The following is a 22,278-nucleotide window of genomic DNA, read 5'->3' as shown; positions in this document are numbered from 1 at the left end:
AAGAGAGGAGGCTGACACATAAACACACGTGGGGAATCTTGGGATGAGAGCTGCACAAGAAATGCTCCTGCAGAGTGCAGTGGGAGCCCGGTAGATGGAGAGACCTACATTTCTGTGGGCTCCAGAAAGACTTCAGGAAATGATATAACTATGAACTGCTTGGGGTGAAGAGACAGTACGGTAAAGCCACAGAGGCACAAGAAAACATCGTCACAGTTGAAGATCCTTCAAAAAAATTAATTTCAGGCAATTGAATATGTTAATCAAAATAAGGCAATTTTGGCCGGGCGCGGTGGCTCACGCCTGTAATCCCAGCACTTTGGGAGGCCGAGGCGGGCAGATCACAAGGTCAGGAGATCGAGACCATCCTGGCTAACACGGTGAAACCCCGTCTCTACTAAAAATACAAAAAATTAGCTGGGCGTGGTTGCAGGTGCCTGTAGTCCCAGCTACTCAGGAGGCTGAGGCAGGAGAATGGCGTGAACCCGGGAGGTGGAGCTTGCAGTGAGCCGAGATCGCCCAACTGCACTCCAGCCTGGGCGACTGAGCCAGACGCCGTCTCAAAAAAAAAAAAAAGGCAATTTTGTTGCTTTATGATGTCATTTTTAAGGGAAATATTTTGGTCTTCATTAAAATTTTCAATGTGCTGTGCACCATTTCACCTCTTACAGTAACGTGAAGATGTTTATGTGAACGATTGTCACAGTCACGGAAGACAAGGTGATTCCACGCGTGTAAACCATACTTGTTTTTCAGATCGATCTCATGTTTTTCAGTGTTTCTCTCCTTTCTTGCGTTCATATTTTTCAAAAGCAGAAATGTGCACAGCTGATTAATGATTGTTCTCCTTTTATTATTTACAATAATCTCTTCCCCATTGCCTATCAGAAAAATTACAGATAATCATTATGAAATATTTAATTAATGGCAAATAATTTAGATAAATGAAAATTTGCTGATATTATCATCAATTTGATGCATAGTCTTAGAGCCGTTATCCCCAACCAGATCTATTCTCACTGATTGAGAAGACAGAGAAAAGCTGGATAGAGACATCACCATTGACATGGAGGAAAGGAGAGAAACGGATGCAAGGAGCTCTTACTGTCACCAACCCACAGAATGACCTTGGGTTTACAGCCTCTCCAGGCATCACATTAACCATGGGTAATGCAAGAAGAAACAGCAGTCCCAACTCTCACCGCATATTTCATGGAGATGAAGGGAGAGTTAATGAGAAAATGTTAGTAAAACATTTTAAGCTCCTTTGTAGGAAGACACTATATAAATACAGAGCAATAGTATCAGTCATTTTAATGGGTTGGAGATTTTTACTGCTTGAGAAAGATACCTAGTTTGAGTTATGCTGGTCTTGCATTGCTGTATATCCTTTGCTTTATAACATAGCACAGGTGTGTTAAACTTCTAACTTTCTATTATCTCTGCATATTGGGGATGTGGCTTTCTCAACCAGCAGCTCTGCACTTAAAATTCCAAAGGGAAGGTTCGATACTGAATGGCTTTTGGATTCCATGGTGATGGGCCGTGTGCTGAGAGATGTATTATTTATTACCACTATGCATAAAACAAAATCACAATAAAAAGGCAAATGCTGACTGGAGAATATAACCTGTCAGCCAGGTTGGTGGCTGCAGAAATCCCAGGGCAAGCATTCTTACTGCAGTAACTCAGCGGTCCCACTCCCCTTACTCTCTCAAGCAATAAAAGGGCAAGAAATCATTAGAGGTTCAACCAAGGAGCCGGGCTTTCCAGGATGACAATGCACTGCTCACTTCACATAACTGCAAAGAGTTATGTTGGAGCTCTGACTTGGAAGGCAGTGTTATACATTTCTTGAGCAACTACATTTTACCAGTGTTTCAAACAGTACAATTTCAGACCATAGTCTGTGTGAATATGTCCAGAGGGGCACCCCTCGTCTTTTCTCTGCCAAATAGACCCATGTGGGCAGTGCTGCTAGAAAAGAAAGCTTTGAAGTAAGAACCAGTTTTATTTACATCTGCTGCAAGGCACATTAGTAATCAGCACTGGCCTTTGCGAATCTCCCTGTTTGAATCACATTGGAAACATAACAAGCAGCATAAGGACCGCCTCATGTTTCCCCTGCCTGTAAGGTTTCTCAGGATATGGCACCAACTTCCTTCATGTTGTCATTGGTCACGTCTCTCTATCACTTGGCTCACTCTTTGTTTTTCCCATTCCACCTCCTTCTGTCCTCCTGGTTCACTCACAGTGTCCACCCCAACCGTGATCACCCCTGTCTCACAGCCTTGCTCCTCCTGACTCAGAAACTTCTTCTTCTTCTGTTGAGCTTCTCTCCTGACAGAATCCCACAGCACATCATCTCTCAAAACTGCTCAGTCTCTGAAACTGGACATGCTGAAATTATTTTCCTATTCCGTCTCTTTCCTTGTCTTAGCATCCTATCCCTCAGCCCTTCTCCCCTCCTATGCCTTAGGCTTCTGTTACCATGGCCTTTCTTCACTTGATTCTGACCTATTCTTGTAGTCCTGGGCCCCCCTGTGAGTTAAAGTCCCTTCCCGCCTAGCCTGGACCTCGCAGTCTGGTAAGAGTGCTCTCACCAGTGCCCACCATTTTCCTGTTTCTCATGCTCCCTCAGCATGTTTGCTTGGTCCTTTCCAGCAGGTGATTTTTAACATGCGAGTGCCTGAAAATCAGAGACATGGGCTTCCCTAGCTTCTTTTACATCAAGCTCCAAATCTATATTCACAACTTTGATATCCAGGGTGATATTCAAAATATTCAGCAATTAGGGAGGAATGGGCACTGAGTGATCAGAACTAGAATGCATGTTTTCCGAGGCCTTCTGCTGGGAAGGACGTGGGCTGGAATGGCAGATACGATGTGGAGAGAGCTCGGCGTGTGAACCCTCAGAGCCACATACACCACAACCGTTGTGACAGCACTGCAGTATTTTAAACACAGGCATGACTGAACCACTGGGCACTGGATGAGTGTCAGCTTCGGGGAATTTTTTCTCCCGTTACAGAGAAAGACCCTCCTCCAAACACACCTGCGCACACCTCTGTGGAAGGCTCACTCTTGCTCTGGGCTTTTGTTAAGTGCTCCCTCCCTCATCCTCTGGGCCCAAAAATCTACCCACCTACCTGTCTGTATACCACTCATGATTTTCCTTGTCCTAAAAGTAATATTAACTTCAGCACTGTCTTTTTATTTTCAGCCTCCTCAGAAGAGTTAGTCAGATGAGTTGATCTTTCAAAGGCAAGGTTAAGACTTTACGTTTAATTTCAACTCACAACAGCGTGGCCTCCGCTCGTCCTTCTCTGAAGAAACAGCTCCAGCATGGCCACCTGTGCACCCCCAACTATTAACTCAAGGCTTCCATTTTCAGAGCATTCTGTCTGACACGTTGGGAATGTTTAACCCTGCGAATCCTCTTCTTTCCTTGGTACTTTCTCTTTTTTGGTTTCTGTGACACACTTTCTCAGACTTCGTTTTCCTCAGAACATCACTTTCTTGTCTCCTCGTATGGCAATCCTTTCTTCATCTATCCTTTAAAGGTGGGTGTTCCTGAAAGGTGTGCTCTCAGCCTACCCTGTGTGTCCTTCACTCACTTCTGGGCTTATGGTGTCCAAGGCTGCAGCTCCGGGCACGCTCCCAGCCCCGACGCCAGCACACACAACAACGTCCCTGCTTCAGGAGCACACTCACGCCCCACCACAGTTCCTTTGCTCCTCTCCCCTCCTTCTCAAATGTCGATTAACTTAGCCACTTCACCTGCCTTCCAGCCCCACCACTTTAATTCAGGCCCTCTTACACCTTCTGATACTTCAGCTCCTTTCTGCATTAATACCTCATCTCTCCTGCCATTGTTTTCATTTCTAAAACTCATAATTATGCACTGTGGGCAAACCTTTCAAACCTTTCCATTACCCGCACACACACACAAAACCCTTCAAACGTAACATTCAAAAGACTAGCTTTCAACTTACTTTTCAAACTTCCCTGACCAATATTCTAGCTAACCTTCCTTTCTTCCTGTTCCCCACATACATACATCTGTGTGTTATGTGCCGAATTGTTCCCTCACAATTTATATGTTGAAACCTTAACGTTTGTTTGGAGATGGGGTCTTTTAATAAGGTAAATAAGGTTAAATGAGATCGTAAGTATGGGGCTCTTGTCTCACAGAACTAGCTTTCTTACGAGAAGAGGCAGAGACCCTAGCAATGCTCACACAGAAAGGAAAGGCCACCTGGGGACAGAGAAAGAAGGCACCTGTCTACAAGCTGAGAAGAGAGGCCTCAGGAGACACCAGCCCTGCCAGCACCTTGATTTTGGATTCCAGCCTTCAGAACGGTGAGAAATACATTTCTGCTGCTTAACCCACCTGTTGGTTTTTTTTTATTATGTCGACACTGGCAGACTACTGCACTGCGCCTTTGCCCATGCTCTTCTCTTCAAAAAAGTGATACATCCCTTTTTAACTTGAGAACATCCTGTACATCCTCCAGTGCCCAGGTTCAACATAGTTTCTGGGGCAAAGCCTTTCCTCACCTCCCCTCAGCCATCCTTGGAAGGCTGGTAATTCTGGTCACAGCACCAGTGTTTTGGTGATGGTGGGGTATTGACTTAGCTCATGGGTAATACCCATGTTCCATTCTAGGTGGTGAATTCATAAGAAAAGGTATTGGGTCTCATTTAGGCGTGGAATGCTGGGATAGGGAAAGAGAAACACATAGGAGGAGAATCTCAGGATTTACACTTTGAGAGACAGAATACTTTTGAATGATGACGTGGTCTGGGATGCGGCCGTAAGAAGTAGGTTAACTGAAACAAAAGAAAGTTCTGAATTTCCAACAGCAAAGCTTTCTGAAGCCAGTGTGGTGCAATGAAGAATGTATTTTGGCCGGGTGCGGTGGCTCACACCTGGAATCCCAGCACTTTGGGAGGCCGAGGCGGGCGCATCACGAGGTCAGGAGATCGAGACCATCTTGGCTAACATGGTGAAACCCCGTCTCTACTAAAAATACAAAAAATTAGCTGGGCGTGGTGGCGGGCACCTGTAGTCCCAGCTACACTGGAGGCTGAGGCAGGAGAATGGTGTGAACCCGGGAGGCGGAGCTTGCAGTGAGCCGAGATCGTGCCCCTGCACTCCAGCCTGGGCGACAGAGTGAGACTCCATCTCAAAAAAAAAAAAAAAAAAAAAAATATATATATATATATATATATATATATACAGAGAGATAATTAATGAAGAGAAATGGTAGTTTGGAAGAAACAGAAAAAAAAAAAACATAAAAGTAGGCTGGGTGCGGTGGCTCACACCTGTAATCAGCACTTTAGGAACCCGAGGAACACCTGAGGTCAGGAGTTCAACACCAGCCTGATGAACATGGTGAAACCCCATCTCTACTAAAATACAAAAATTAGCCAGGCGTGGTGGCAGGTGCCTGTAGTCCCAGGTACTCAGGAGGCTGAGGCAGAAGAATCTCTTGAAACTGGGAGACAGAGATTACAGTGAGCTAAGATCGTGCCACTGCACTCCAGCCTGGGTGACAGAGTGAGACTCAGTCTCAAAAAAAAAAAAAAATGTATTTTTAAAATTTTATTTGCAGATTATTTGTTTCTAGTATAAGTAAACATTATTAAATTTCTTTACTGATTTTTGTGGCTTGCTAATTTGACTTGTTAGTTCTGCTAGCTTGTTTTTAGATTTCTTAATATTCTACAAACAAGATTGTATGTCATTGATGACACTTTACTTTTTCTCTCCCCACTCTATTATGAGTTTTGTTTCTTTTTCTTGCCTTATTGTCCTGACCAGAACACCCAGTGAAATATTAAACAAAAGTGGTGAGAGTGAAAATCCTTGCCTTGTTTCTGATATTGTATCAAGCATTCAGTATTCGACTATTAACTCTGAAGGTGTCCATAGGAATTTTGTAGATTACTTTTATAGAGTTCTTTCTCTAGACTGCTGAGAACATATTTTTAATGAGGCTGAATATCTCCCGTGTCTTTTCTCTGTATCAATGGAAATGATCATATAATCTCCTTTATTTAGTTAATATGGCGAATTGCTTTGATAGATTTAGATATTAAACCAATTTTATACTGCAGAGATAATGCTGAGTTATTCAGAATACATTAAAGTTGATATGTATTGTTGGATTTATTTTGTTTACATTTGATTAAGAGGTCTTGCATATATGGATCTACATGGTTTTTAAAAATTTATTTGTTTGGCTTTGGTATTATGGTAATATTGGACTCAAAAAATAAATTGGAAAGTATTACTATTTATTTTCTGGAAAACTTTGTATAGAGGTTTCTATTATTTCTATAAGCAGCAACAATGAAGTGAATTTCTATGAAATTTATAAAAAGCTGTAAATTTACCTCTAAGTGCTGCTTTATCTATAGGACAATTTTCCTCATGTTTTTATTTTCCTTCGGTTAAATGCATTTTAATTTCCTTGAGATTTCTCCTTTGACCAGTGGATAAAAGTATGTTGTTTAGTTTTCAGTTGCTGGGCAATTCCACCAGTTTATTTGTTATTAATATCTACTCTTTTTCTCTGTTGTTAGTGGATATATTCTTTATTATATTAATCCTTTTAAATTTTGAGATGTGTTTTACAGCCCACCATATTGTCTATCTTATGTCAATATTGTATGTGTGCTTGGAAGAATAGGCAAAATCTTGTCTTATTGCAGGGAATATTTTCTAAGTATCAATTAGGTTAAAGAAATTTATATTCTTGTTCAAGTCTTCTGTATTCTTATAATATTTTTGTACTACTTTTATCGATTCCTAAAGTATTAACATTTTTAATTTTTTCCCTTATTTTAATTATGTCATATTTTGTTGTAATTATTTTGGATATCTGTTTTTTGGTGGAAGAAAATTTATAAATGTTGCATCTTCCTTCCCTGAGACTCTTTTACCATTACAAAATATCTCTTTGTCACTGTAAATATTTCTTACTCTTAAGTCTATTTTCATTGCTTAAAAAAATCTAATAATGTTTGAAGTTTGTCTGGAATATTTAGTCCGTTTACATTTAAAATGATGGTTAGTAGGGTAGTGAGACTGATATTTTGTTATTTGTTTTCTATTAGTCTTATTTCTTTTTTTTCTTCCTCCTTTACTGCCCTTTTCAGTATTGAACAGACACTTGTAGTGTATCTTTTTAACCCCGCTACTGAGTAGTTAGCTATATATCTTTGAATTTTTTTCAGAGTTGCTCTAGTGATGACAATATTATTTTAACTTATCAAAATCGACTTTAATTTAATGTTGACTTATTTCTTACAGAATATAGAAAATTTGCTTCATTCAATCTGCCTTTTTATTATATTCAAATGTTGTATACAAACACATAAAATAAACTGAAAAAGAAACACTGTTGTAACATTTGCTTTATACAATCATATGCTGTTTAAAAATTAAGAGATAAAAAGAATGTATATACAAACATTTATGTATGAATATGTGTGTGTGTGTGTGTGTGTGTGTGTGTGTGTATAATATTTTGTGTTTGCCCAGATACTTACCTCTTTCAGTGCTTCTATTTTTGTTCATGGAAGGTCTCATCTGGTACACTCTTCCTCAGACCTGAAGGACTTAACTGGATCATTTCTTGTATGTAGGGCATGCCTGTTAACAACTAATTCTCCTAAGTTTCTGATAAGCTGGAAATGTCTTATTTCATGTTCATTTCTGCTAGGTAGTATTCTTGAATATGGAATTCTTGGTTGATTTTATATCATTCTAATGTTTTCTGTCCACTGTTTTTTCTGAAATTAACCATTATTTATTGTTCTTTCCTTTATATGTTATATATTATTTAATTTTTTTCTTCATTATCTATGGTTTACAAGAGTGTGTCTGTGTGTCTAGTCATAATTTTCTTTGCATTTATCTTATTTGGGGTTTGGTGAACTTCTTTGACCTACAAATTGAAACTTTTGTAAAAGTCAAGAAGTTTTTGGCCATAACTTAAATTTGGTTTTCTGCTCCCTATCTCTACTGTCTTTTGGGAATTTTAATTATTGCTTTATTGAAGTTAGCCCTCAGATTACTGAAGCTCTTGTTTTCCTTCATCTTAAAAACAATTTCATCGTATTAGATTATTTCTATTCATCTAAATCTGGGTTCCTTTATTCTTTCTCTAGCCATCTCAAATCTGCTGTTATAGCCTCTAGTTATTTTTTTTAATTCCATACATTGTCCTTTTTAAATCTCTAGAACGTCTACTTCTTTTTCAATATTTCCATTTTCCCATTGGGAGTACCTATTTGTGTATTTGTTCATGGCTAGCTTTCTGGGGTTTTTAGCTCTACTGCTTAGTGATTATGCAGTTATTTATGCAGAGGCTATGCTGAAACACCCCAAGCCAGAAAGATTCCCACTCTCTGTCACTCAGGCGTGGTTCAGATTAAAGAACACAGTCAAAAATCAGCGAATTCACAGTTCTTTCCAAGGATTCAGTTTTACTGTGCTTTCTATCATCTCCACACACATGCATCGTTTAGTAGTTGTGCGATGATCTGTTTAGTGTCTCATCCCTTTTATGGGGCTTCTCTATGTGACTGAGCCTTTCTTATTTCAAAAATATCATCCTTAAATGTTTAGCTGCTTTATTGGTTACCCCAAACCTCGTCTACCACCTCTAACTGGTAAAGTCACTGGCTTATACTGCCTACATTGGGGCAAGTCGGGAATATCCCTAGGCAAAACCCCCAAAGCTGACCTTTTTACTTGATGTGGTAAAGCAGATTTTCATAGCAAACATTTCTCTCATTGTTGCTGGCCTTTGGTCATTTTCCAATGCCCTCAAATGATTCTTTCTACTATTTTTGTCCTGTTTTCATATTTACACTCTATGGATTGGAATTGCCTGACTTCTTTATGCTACTCTTAAAAAAGGAGAACCCATTAAAAAAAATAGTCTTCAACTTTAGTGAAAATTTTTTCTAAGAAGCAGAAGTGGATTCCCTACTTTCCGCCCTTACCACTCACCATTCCCTAGTAGTTAAAACTAAAATTTTAATTATTATGACTAGCAAAAATGGTAAACTGGTTACACTGCAAATATGAAAATACATGCAAGATATCATTATTGATTATTCTGAATTTTATGTTTTAAATTTTACTTGCCTATTTAAAGGATCCTTTGCAGTGCTGACTGTTCTCTAAAGAGCTCCTTTTGAGTTCTTTGACCGCGTTAATTCACTCAAAGCCACAAAAATGACCACTTCTAAGGAGCTTTCCCTTCCTTCCATTGGGCATTTCCACAGCTCATGCCTGCTTTAAACATGTAGCAGCTCTGAATTACGTTTTTTAATTCTGAGGGTTGTTAGAGTTTTGTTTTGTTTTGATTTGGTTGCCTGAACTCAAACTGCAAACCAGTGAGCTGCCACCAATGTCTCATATCAGACACTTTCAGTATTTTAATATTTCCGATATTTCAAGATCCCCTGTCCTGTCAAAATTAGCTCCTTTGAGCAAAGAGCATGGGGTCTTGTTTATATTTCTAAATTGTAGCATAGTGCTAAAAAAGAGAGAAGATGTTAAATTAGAATCTTTTTGACTAAATGGATCTTTGCTTTCACCTGGTTGATCTATCAGCCTTTTTTTCTATTATTTTACTCATGTTGTTCATGTTCTACATTCATCAGCAGAACAAAGTTCCAAATAGAATGTTCTAGTTCTAGGAGAGGAGAATAAGAGATGTTGGAACATACGTCCTGATGCTTGGTTTGGAAACCATGCTCACTTAACTATTATTAAGTATTGAAAAAAAAGTTTAAAAAACTATAAGCTATTTCAGATTTTACAAGCTTAGGAACTCTGCAGTAGCATAACAGAAAAGATCTTCCATTTTTATGATATTTTATGTCTCATTCTACTTGTAACTAAACAAAAGGATTTCTTATCTAATTGCGATGAAGCAGTATTTTGCATTGTCTGAGCAGAACTCACATGGGAATCCTCACACATATTTTCAGAAAAAGAAATCTCACAATGGTTTGTATCATAATCTGCAGCATTCTTGACACAGTTCTGTTGAATCTTTAATCCTCCAACTTGTTTCTAACTTGTCAGTACGTATCTGTTTTGTACTGTTTTTCTTTGGAAAACAAAAAAGGCAGCTTTAGCAAGGCAGTACATTATTTTGGTAAAATTGCCTTCTGGTAATTAACTTTTTATTGTATTACAAAAGGTAGTTATTGATACACAAGCATATTTCTTTGTGTTTCTTCTTTCAATATTAAAGCAATCTAAGGAGTCTTGGTTGTACTCTTCATGCTAAATTTTCTGTGAACATGTTTCTATTAAGATCAATTGCAGTGCCTTTCTCTTAAAAGGATTCCAGATAAACAACAGTAAATCTGCAGGTAACTTTCCGATATTGCAAATCTGCATAGGAATAACAGTAAACAGTATACTGAAAACAGGTCTCTGAAACTCTGGATAGTAAAATCAATTCAGAGGACATGCAGTAATGAGCTGAGCTGCAAAGCTAGGATTAGTTAAGGATATTTTTGCCTGGGAAATATATCGGTCAATTTTCTAGATTTATTTTTATTGCAACACGGCTGAAAATTTTATTTCAAAATATCTACCAAAATACAACTGAACATGCCCCATATAAAAATATAGCAGAGACAAATCAATGCAAATACATATTATCTCAACCTAGTTAAGTGAGAAATTCTTCTTTTAGGTATAAGTAAAATAAAAACACTTACATTTATTACTCCTGCTTTACACAAGTTTTTTCCCATAGAAATCATATTCAATTACTGCTATTTTTTAAGTTTGACATTAATAAACTACTAAAAATGGGCATGTATAAAACAGGAAACATTATTTTGTTTCTTACACACTAAGGCCAATTAATTAAAGACATTTTATTCGCTCAGGCAATTTTGGCCACTGCTTTAGCTCCATGTCACTTTCTTAGGTTTTTGTTCATATTTTGCTGGAAAAAAAATTACCCACATTTAAAAACTGAAGTTAGCATCTTTTCCAACAAAAATTCATTCAGGTAGTGCCAAAGATAACATTGCAACTTTTAAGAAAAATGGAGAAATGTAATCTTTAACGGTAAAACAGATAATTCCTCAGACTAAGTGCCAAACTTCTTTCACTGTAGACCAAATTCAAATACATTCCAAAGAATAATAACTCCATAATGAATGCTTTATAAAACTATTCACACTATTAGGTAAGTTAAAATTAGCTCCCAAGGTTGGATTCTGAAGTTACTGCAGAGTTCTTTTTAATGTTAAAAAAGCCAGCTGGTCAAGTGGAGATGGCTGCAACTGCTACAATCAGTTTTATGATGTGGCTAGAAAATTTATTTTATTTGGTATTAGCAGCTCTCCACAATGCTTGGAGGCTGAAATGAGAAGACACTTCTTTATTATTAAATAATCTCACAATTCACAACTATTCCATAATGCAGGGTTATAGATGATCATACAAGTTTAGTAAATGAATAAAACTTTTGAAATTGTGAGATTTCACAGTGTTACGACACTCAGGGTCTTATCCCTGATTTACCATCTTTCCTATACAAAATTTCACTGTTTTAACTAGAGGCTGATGAGAAAACCCAGATATGTTGAAAACAAATTCCAACTGAGCAAAGGGAGTTCACACTGAATGATCAAATGTGTTTGTTTTTCTATCAAAATCTTCTTACACTTGTGATATGAATAGATATTATACGAGAATTTTCCATTAGCCAGACATTCTTTATTCTTTACCTCCCACTCACTAGAAGTAGATAGATAGATAGATAGATAGATAGATAGATAGATAGATAGATGATAGAGAAATAGATAGATGATAGATTCTAAAATTTAACAAATATAATGTACCCAGGGATTCCAGCTGAAACATTTTTAGTTCCTTTGGAATTTGTATTATAAACAAAATCACCACAAACTGTAATCACTGGCCCTAAACCACAGGGAATCTTTATATATGCCTGAGTGACTGCTTTAATGTGTATTCAGTTTTGTTTTTTTTCCTTATGGTCTTACATCTGTGACTACATTATTCTCTCCAGCTAGTGTTTTACTTGTTCATAGCATCATTTCTAGAAATAGTGCTACAGGTGTTTTCAGTCCTTGAATAACATGTTTACAAAAAGAGAGTATTTTCTGGTATGATCACTTTTCTGGCCAGAGTCTAACAATAAACATTTGTTTTACTCTTGATCCACTGAACAGGAAGATGTCTGCCAAAAAATACCTTACACTGAAACCACCTTTGCAAAAATTACAACAGTGAGAAAATTATGACAGTGAAAGAGGTCTGCACTAATCCACCCCCCACCTTGCCTTTCCCTTAATTATTCCAGGGCTATTGGGCCAGGATGCCATTGGAAGTCATTTAAACATGATAATAGGCCTTGGTGGGAAACTCAACTGCTTTTTTAAGCTAATAAGAGGCACTAGGTGGAGGAGAGGAGCCTGAGGCCTGCTAAGGCACAGAGAGATGATTGCCAGCCATTATTCCACAGGTTATAAGTTATGCAAATTCCCCAGTTACTCCTGCAAATAACATCACTATTGGAGAACCAAAGACTGGAGTTTAGAGACATCTTTTCAGGTTTTTTGCATGCATCACACCCATCGTTCTATCTCGACCGGCCAACCTCACTCCTGCTGCCCCCCCCAGCCATGATTCAGCCCACAGGACAGTTTCCACCCCCTGTGATTTCATCTCTGTCCCAACCAAGCAGCAGTCGGCACCTATTACCTGGCCTTTCCCGCCCCTTCCCCTAAACTGCCTTTGAAAAAATCTGTGAGCTTTGAAAGAGATGATTTGAGTACAAACCCCATCTCCCAAGTGGCGGGGCCGGCCTTGTGTCTGTCACTCTCTTTCTTTACTACAATCCTGTGGTCATTCTTTATGCAGCAGGCAGGAAGAGCCCCTTGGGCAGTTACAAGACCAGAGCTTCAAAATGCAGGAAGCAATCCTGACAGAATTAAAGAAACAAATATAGAACTTAACAAAAGTAAATATTTGAAGTCTTCAATATCCCACTTTTAATAATGAATGGAGCAACAAAGGAGAAAAACAACACGAAAATGGAAGACTTGAAAGACACCGTGAATCAGTAACAGAAGGAGTTTGGAATACTTACAAATACGTGGAAATTAAACAGCACACTTTTAAATAACAAGTGAGTCAAAAGAATTCACAACAGAAATTATAAAATATTTTGAGGTGAATGAAACAAAAACATGTTATAACAAAACTTACAGAATGCTGCTACATCAGTGCTTAGAAGGGAATTTAAAACTCTAAACATCTGTATTAAAAAAGAAGAAAGACCGAAAATCAATAATCAAATATTCCGTTTGCAGAGAATATAAAATAAGAAAGAACTAACCCCAAAGCAAGTAGAAGGAAGGAAATAGTAAAGATGTAAGAAGAAATAAATAGAGAATAGAAAAATAATTTTAAAAATTAACAAAATCAAACCTGGTTCTTTGAAAAGATGAACAGAATTAACAGGTATTTAGTTAGACTGAAGAGAGTGGGGAGAGAAGGCTCACATTATTATCACATTATTAAATCAGAAAAGAGAGAAGGGGTTGTTGCTATCTTTTCAAAAATAAAAAGGTTTATAAATGATTATCATTGGTAATTGTATGCTAATGAATTAGAAAACATGGACAAAATGGCCAAATTTTTTAAAAGCTCCACAAACTTTCAAAACTGATAGTTTTCATGGAAAACCTGCATAGACCTATAACAAGTAAAGAGATTGAGTTAATTATCAAAAACTTCTCATGAAGAAAAGGCCTCCACCAGACAGGTGGTGAATTCTCCCAAAGTTTAAAGAAACATGAGTACCAATTCTTTATAAACTCTTCTAAAGAATAGAAAGGGAAAGAACACATTGTAACTTATTCCATGAGGTTAGTATTATCCTGATAACAAAGCCAGATAAAGATACCACAAGAAAACCACATATCAATGCCACTTGTGAGTATTGAAAAACCCTCAGTAGAATTCTAGCAACCAATAAGGCAACGTATAAAAAGATTTCTGTGACATGACCAAATGGAATTTATCCCTAGAATGCAAGAATGGTTCAAAATATGAAATTCAATTATTATAATATACAACATGAATAACACAAAGAAAAAAGATCATTTCAATAGATGCAGAGAAAGCATTTGACAAGATCCAATATATTTGCATTAGAAAAAAACTTAAACTAGGGATAGGAAGAAATTCCTTAAATTAATAAAAATACTATAAAAAATTCCTAACTAACATGATACTTAATGGTAAAATAGGAGTGCCTTCTTCCTAATATTAGGAACAAAGAAGGGTGGCCACTCTGACCATTCCTGTTTAGTGTTGTGCTGTCGATTTAGGAAGGAAACTTGGCAAGAAAAAGAAAAAAAAACACTCAGATGAAAACGAATATAAAAATCTATGTCTATTTGCAGATGACATTATCTTACATATAGAAAGTTCTAAGGTCACTCTCAAAACATTATTAGAGCTAATAAACAAATGTAAGGTTATAGAATAAATGATTAATATATAAAAGCTAATTATATTCTATACCGTAACAATGAACAATCCAAAAGTAAAATTAGAAAAGCAGTTCAAATTTCAATAGCATTAAAAAATAAGATATATAAGGATAATTTAATAAGAGAAGTTCAAGGCTTGCACATTGAACACTACAAAACATATTTTAAAGAACTTAAAGATGACCTAGATAGAAGAAAATATATCTGTGTTTAAGAATTAGAAAACTTAGCATTGTTAATATGGAAATTCTACCCAAGTGTATCTATAGATTCAAACAATTTCTACAAAAACTCTAGCTGGTTTTTTTTTTCAGACATGACACCTAGTCCTAAAATTTATGTAAATGCAAGAGGCCCAGAAGAGCCAATGCAATCTTGAGGAAGAAACATGTTGGAGCACTTATACTTCCCGATTTTAAAATTTAACACAAAGCTATAATAATCAAGACTGTGTGGTACTAGTATGGAGATAGACATAGCTCAATGGAATAGAATCGGGGGTCCAGGAATAAACCCACACATTAATGGTCAATTGATTTCCAACAAATGTCAAGAAATTCTAGTGCAGAAAGAATAGTCTTCTCTATAGGAGGTGCTGTAATGACTGAGTTTCCACTTGCAAAAAAAAAAAAAAAAAAAAATGCAGCTAGATCCCTACTTCACATCATATAGAAAAATCAACTTGAAACGGATTGAAGACGTGAATGTAAGTGCTAAAACCACACAATTCTTAAAATAACACATAGGTGTAAGTCTTCATTATCTTGGGTTAGGTATTGTTTTCTTAGATAATAAAAACACAAGAAAATGAAAAAAAGTAGATAAATTGAACTTCATCAAACTAAAACTTTTGGGTTTCAAAGAACACTATCAAATAAGTGAAAAGACAACTGAGACAGTGGGAGAAAATATTTGCAAATCATTTATCTGATAAGGGTCTGGTGTCCAGAATGTATAAAAAGAACACTTACAACTTAATAAAAAGACAGAATACAACTCAAAAATGGAAAGGATTTGAGTAGCCATTTCTTTAAAGAAAATATTAAAGTTGCCAACAACAGATGAAGAGACACCCAACATCATTAACCAGAGGGAAATGTACATCAAAGCCACATTGAGATACATTTGACTCCCACTGGGACAGCTGTAATGAAAAGATACTTTGACATGTTGGAGAAGTTGTAGAGGAATTGGAACACTTTTACATTCCTGGTACAATGCAAAGTGATGCAGCTCCTCACATGATTAAACTTAAGAGTTCTCAGATGGCCCAGAAGCTCCATGCCTCAGTATATATCCAAAAGAATTCAAAACATTTGGGCAATGGTTGGATATGGTTTGCTTGTTCCCCCCAAATCTCAATTCCCAATGTCACCTGTTGGGAGGGGGACCTGGTGGGAGGTGTTAGGGTCACGGGAGGAGATCTCTCATGACTAGCTTGGTGCCTTTAGTGGTGGTGAGTTCTTGCTCCCACAAGGCTGTATTGGTTCTCCGGCAAATGACTTTGTTTCTATGATGGTGGCTTCTTATAAAGCCAGGATGCCCCTGGGTTTGCTCCCCCTTCACCCATGCCCACTTCCCCTTTGACCTTCTCCATCATGCATTGCAGCTTCTGCAAAGCCCTCACCAGAAGTTGAGCACATGCTGGTGCCGTGCTTTCTGTAGAGCCTGCAGAGCTTGAGCTTAAAAAAAATAAAATCATCTTTCCTTCGTAAATAACCCAGCTTCACATACTCCTTTATAGCAACACAAATTGGACTCAGACAATGTGTTGACACAAAAACTTTTGCATGCATGTTTCAGCAGCCTTATTCATAATAGCTAAAAAACAGAAGCAACTGAAACGTTCAGCAGGTGAATGGATAAGTAAAATATGGTATATTCCTACAAAATGTAGTATATTCATACAAATATAGTATTCAGTCATAAAAAATGAGGCATTGATTCATACGACAACATGAATGAAACTTGACAACTAATCTATGTAGATGAAGCCCAAGACAAAAGGCCATGTATTGTATAATCATAATACTCACATGGAATATCAAGAAGAGGCAGATCCAGAGACTGAAAGACACAGGAAAGTTAGTGCTTTCCAGAGCCAGGAGAGGAGCAAATGGTGAGTGACTATTAACTGGTGTGGGTTTCTCTTTGAGATGGAATATTCTGGCACTAGATACTTGTGATGGTTCCACATGTTCATGAATACACAAAAAAAAGCACTGAATTTTTCACGTTAAGAAGTTGAATTTTATAGTATGTAAATTATATTTTCAAGCTTTTCTTGATGATTTGGTCATTTTTCATCTAAAATTGTGTCGAGTACATAATTTTTTTTCCTTGTGGGATAGTCTTCTTAGTGTAGCGTGATGGAAACTGTAGACCATTTTAGTTTTTAAACGTCTGTAATAGTAAAGTAAAAAACATAGCAAGATAGGAAGAAACAAGTTTTATCAATTTTATGCATTTATGTGAATTTAAGTGATGAAGGATTTAATGTAAAGGACAGAAAATTGGCAAGAAAGAGCTGTACATAATCATAATCATTGCGATGTTTGAATATTTTTTCTACACTCTTACCTTTAATTTTGATGATGCTAACTTTTAAAATTTTTATTTCAGAATATTTCCCCAAACTCTGGTGATATAAAATTATCCAAGGTTCTGATTACTAATTTTTAAATATTCTTGCATTTTAAAAAAGGTATTTGGATTTATTTCTAATCAAATAATAATATACTCGACAAGAAACTAGATCATTTAAATGCAAAGCTTCAGGCAGTTTGATTAATCACATAGTCCCATGAAGCAAGCAGGGCATGTAAAAGGGAAAAGCCACTAGGAAGGCATAATAATCCTAAATGTGTGTGCACCTGATAAAAGACCTTCAAAATATATAAAGCAAAGCCTATTAGAAATAAAACAAAATAGTCACATTCATAATTGTAGTAGAGAACTTCAAGTTTTCTGTATCAATTGACAGAACAAGTAGAAAGTTAGTTAGGGTATTGACAATCTGAAAAAAACTACCCACAGATTGAGCATTTATAGAAAATGCGTTTATAGAACACTCAACACAAGAGCAGAATAATATACATTCTTTTAAAGTGTGTATGGATTATTCACCAAGGTAGACCATATTCTGGCATAAAACAAACCATAATAATTTTTTCTAAAATTAAAATAAACTATGTTCTCTGGACATAATAGAATTAAGCTAGAAGTCAGTGGTTGACATACAGGTGGAATATCTGAAAATATTTAAAAATTAAGCCACTCTTTTATGAATAACACGTGGGTGAAAGAGGAAGTCAAAAAGACATGAGGAAATATTATGTGTTGAATAAAAATAAAACAAAATGTTTCACAATGTATGAGGTGCTGATAAAACAGTGCTTAGAGGGAAATTTGTAGTGTCAAAACTTCTATAAGGAAATTCAGATATTATTGATTAGATTCCACCTTAAAACTGGTAAGAGGAAGTAAATTGAACCCAAAACAAATAGAAAAAAAGAAATAGTAAATATGAGAGAAGAAATTAATGAAATTGAAAAAATATAGAAAAATATCAGTGAAACCCAAAATGCTTTGTTTGAAAAGATCAATATAATTAATCAATGAGTCAGATCAACCAAGAAACAAAAAGAGAAAAGATAGAAACTATCAATATCAGGAATAAAATATGGGACAATTCTACACACCTTGAGGTCACTTAAAGAATGAAAAATAAATATTAGGAACTATTTTATGCCTTATGTTTTATAACTTAGATGAAATGGACAAATTCCTTGAAAGCTACAAAGTACTAAAGCTCATGAGGAAGGAATACATAACTCAAATAGTCTATGTATATTAAAGAAATTGATCTGTAGTTAAATAACTTCCAAAAAAGAAAACTCTATCCACAAGCGACTAAATTGTTGAATTCTAAAAAAGAAAAAAATACTTAAGGAAAAAATATTATAAATTCTACACAAACTCTTTCTGATAGTAGAAGTAGAGGGGGATACTTCCCAACTCACTTTGTGAGATCATAATTATCCTGCTACTAAAACCAGAGAAGGACATTTAAGGAAAAGCCAACTATAAGACCTTATATTATCCGTCTTGAACATGGGCACGACACCTCTCAACACAATTTTTGTAAGTAGAAAAGAGTGATACATAATATGGATAATAGATCATCACAAAGTGTGTCTTATCCTGGCCAAGCAAGGTTCATTTAACAGTTAAAACTAAAACAATGTAGTTTGCTATATGAATACGCTAAAGAAGTAACACACACGATCATCTCAATAGATGCCAAAAATTATCAAAATTTAACCCCCATTCATTACAAAAACTATCAACAAGCTAAGAATATAAGGAAACTTCAACCTCTCAAAGTGCATCTGCGAAGGGTTCACAGTAAAGTATGTTTCTCCTTTTAGCAGTTAAAAAAAAACAGTGTTTCCAGTTTTCAACAATTATGAATAAAGTTGCTATACACAGTCACACACGAATGTTCGAATGTACATAAATGCTAACGTCTCATGGCTAGGTATCTAAGAAAGGACTGCCTGGCACACACGACAAATGCATGTTTAAGTTTGTCAGAAGCTGTCAGAGTGTTTTCTAGTGTGCCCTCCCCCAGCCGGCAACGTTGCCTCACCTGGTGGGTGCGCCTCCCCTCCCTGCAGCCTTGCCTCACCTGGTGGGTGCGCCTCCCCTCCCTGCAGCCTTGCCTCACCTGGTGGGTGCGCCTCCCCTCCCTGCAGCCTTGCCTCACCTGGTGGGTGCGCCTCCCCTCCCTGCAGCCTTGCCTCACCTGGTGGGTGCGCCTCCCCTCCCTGCAGCCTTGCCTCACCTGGTGGGTGCACCTCCCCTCCCTGCAGCCTTGCCTCACCTGGTGGGTGCGCCTCCCCTCCCTGCAGCCTTGCCTCACGTGGTGGGTGCGCCTCCCCTCCCTGCAGCCTTGCCTCACCTGGTGGGTGCACCTCCCCTCCCTGCAGCCTTGCCTCACCTGGTGGGTGCACCTCCCCTCCCTGCAGCCTTGCCTCACCTGGTGGGTGCGCCTCCCCTCCCTGCAGCCTTGCCTCACGTGGTGGGTGCGCCTCCCCTCCCTGCAGCCTTGCCTCACGTGGTGGGTGCGCCTCCCCTCCCTGCAGCCTTGCCTCACCTGGTGGGTGCGCCTCCCCATCCCTGCAGCCTTGCCTCACGTGGTGGGTGCGCCTCCCCTCCCTGTAGCCTTGCCTGCACCTGGCAGGGGACGCTCGCAGCCCTCCCATGCTCTGCTGTCCTTCAGTGCCTCAACGAATGACCTTTAGATCTGCGCCTCGGGGATTTTTAACTCCCCAGGAGGGGCCTTTCTACCCTGTGGCTCTGTGAGGTCTGGATATTCTTAGGGGTCTGTGGAATTCTGTGGGTCTCTTTCTATGTGGCTGCTTGTAGGGTTGATCTCAATTATGGGCGAGGCTGTATTCCTGTCCCTTTGGAGAGCTCTGTGCTGTTTTCTCCTCTTTAATCATCTAATATATTTTCCCATATGATGACTTTCAACAGTGTTTTTTGGGTGTAATTTAATAATGTATAATGAGGAGACTTAGAAAAAACTGTTTCGACAGGCTAGTGATGGACAGTTCTAGTAACAGCCACAGCCTCGTCTTCCTTCCTTATCACTTGAAATGACCACTTACACTTCTGCCAGATATCACCTGTGAAAGGCAGGGGTCTCCTTCCTCTGGATGTGTTTACTGATTTCCTGGAGGTCACCAGGTCGTTGTTCACTAAGAACAAGAAAGAGCTTCTGCCGTGGTTTCCACTCTCTTCGCAAGACGGAGGATCTTTCTCCAGGGGCCTCCACGGACTCCCAGGGTGTAGAATATTCAGATCCTCAGATCCCTGTTTATGGTAGAATCAGAAGACCCTGCAGAACATTCGCAGATAAAACAAACGGTGGCATAGAGCACGGCCCTTTTCCTTCATGGAGAAGCGTGCACCACCCGCTCTCAGAAACCTTAGAGAACTCAGTGTAAGTATTGTAAAAATTACTTCATAACACATTTGACTTTTGAGGGGAAATTACACTGTAGCCAGCTCTTTTGCATCTGTTTTTTTTTTTCTGAAGATAAAATTATTCTCTCACTATTAAATTACAAATCTTAAGGGGTATAATACTGCTAACCACATTTGTCTACTAGATATTTCTAATATTGCTAGAGACTGTTGAATTTAAAACCTCTAATTATATAGGTGTTAAAACCTAAATATTCAGTAGCCGAAAACTAATGGAATTTTTTCAGGATTGTTCAATACTACCTGAGTCTTTTGAATTATAAACTACTCACATATGTATAAAATAAATATGTTCAGTAGAAAAAATCCTGATGTGACATATGTTTCTGGATCAAAACATGTCATCTTAAAAATTTGGCTGTGACCTTTTTTTTTTTTAAATTTAATGGAGTAACAAAGACTTGCGAAATGGACAGAGAGGATGAAGGGATATTAACAGTAGCCTGTTTAACCCTCCATTAATTTTGCCTTTCACTTCTCCTACACAGCATAAGTCTGGGCTTAAATTTGAATAAAAACCCACGGGTAAGAGCAAAAGACTAGAAGAGGAGTTATTTTAACAAGCTTTTGATGTAGAATCAGTTGCCTTTAAAATTTTTAAATGTAATCATACTTCAGAAGGTGATCATGCTGTGGTGAAATGAAAATAGAACAAACGTGAGTCGGTTGCAGTGTTACAGAGCGGGGTTGGAAAGCTTTTCTGTGATTAGCTGGGAGTCAATATTTTTATTTTAGGCTATGTAGGCTGTATGGACTTGATAGCCCCTGCACAGCTTTGTCATGTGGTGTGAAAGTAGCCACAGACGAAATGAGTGGTGTGGCTGTGTGGCAATATGTTTATTTACTAAAGCAGGTGGTGGGCCAGGTTTGGTCCTTGGGCCATCGTGTGCTGACCCCTGGAATAAAATAACTAGAGTAGGCTTCACTGAAAAACTTGAAGAGGAGTTGACTGCTTATGAAAACATTTATTTTTGTATTTATGTAAATAAGAAAAGTTTATCATGCTTTAGCCATGTTTTTAGGGTTTGTTTGCTTGTTAATTTAGTTTTGTTTTGCTATAAAATCTAGTATTTCTTGAACCAATGCCACTCCCATAGCTTCAGATCATCATCTATATGCAGATAACTCCCTAATGTGTATCTCTAGCTCTGTCCTTTCTCCCTAACTCTAGACTGCTGTGTCGAGCTGCCTACCACCCGACAGGCCTAGTTGGATTATTACCCACATCTCAATCTTCACTGAATGTTTGACTTCAATCTTAAAACCTATTCCCACCCCAACCCCTGTCAGACTTTCCCATCTGAGTTGATAGTAACTCCACCCTTCCAACCTCTGAGACCCAAAGATTGCAGTTCCCTTTGACCTTTCCTTTCTCATACTAACATTGAGGTCGTGAGGGCATCCTGTTTGCTCCACCTTTATAGTATCTGCAGAAGCCAGCCACGTCTTACTCCCTCCATTGCCGCCATCCTGATCCAAGCCTGCTGACCTGGGTTGATGATCTTCTTACCTCTGCTCTTGGGTCCCTGTAGTCTTGTAGCAGACAGTGTTATCCCTTTAAGACAAACCTCTGCTCAGAATTCCATCATGGCTCCCAAGCTCACTAAAGCAAAATTCGAAGCCTTCGCCATGGCCCAT

At 38.0% G+C, this 22,278-nt stretch overlaps 2 annotated features.

Annotated features, from left to right (window-relative positions):
- Positions 12,183–12,699: an enhancer, noted in NCBI's record as "OCT4-NANOG-H3K27ac hESC enhancer chr4:190083543-190084059 (GRCh37/hg19 assembly coordinates)". NCBI's record gives its function as "activates a minimal SCP1, AML or CMV promoter by ChIP-STARR-seq in primed H9 embryonic stem cells {active_cell/tissue: H9 hESC(primed)}" and the evidence as "EXISTENCE:reporter gene assay evidence [ECO:0000049][PMID:30033119]".
- Positions 12,759–13,053: a silencer, noted in NCBI's record as "tiled region #651; K562 Repressive non-DNase unmatched - State 24:Quies". NCBI's record gives its function as "represses a minimal TATA promoter and a strong SV40 promoter by Sharpr-MPRA in K562 cells {active_cell/tissue: K562}" and the evidence as "EXISTENCE:reporter gene assay evidence [ECO:0000049][PMID:27701403]".

This window comes from Homo sapiens, chromosome 4 (assembly GCF_000001405.40).
Source record: "Homo sapiens chromosome 4, GRCh38.p14 Primary Assembly".
Taxonomy (NCBI): Eukaryota; Metazoa; Chordata; class Mammalia; order Primates; family Hominidae; genus Homo; species Homo sapiens.
The sequence above is the reverse complement of the archived record's forward strand: the minus strand, read 5'-3'. Positions and strand labels throughout refer to the sequence as shown.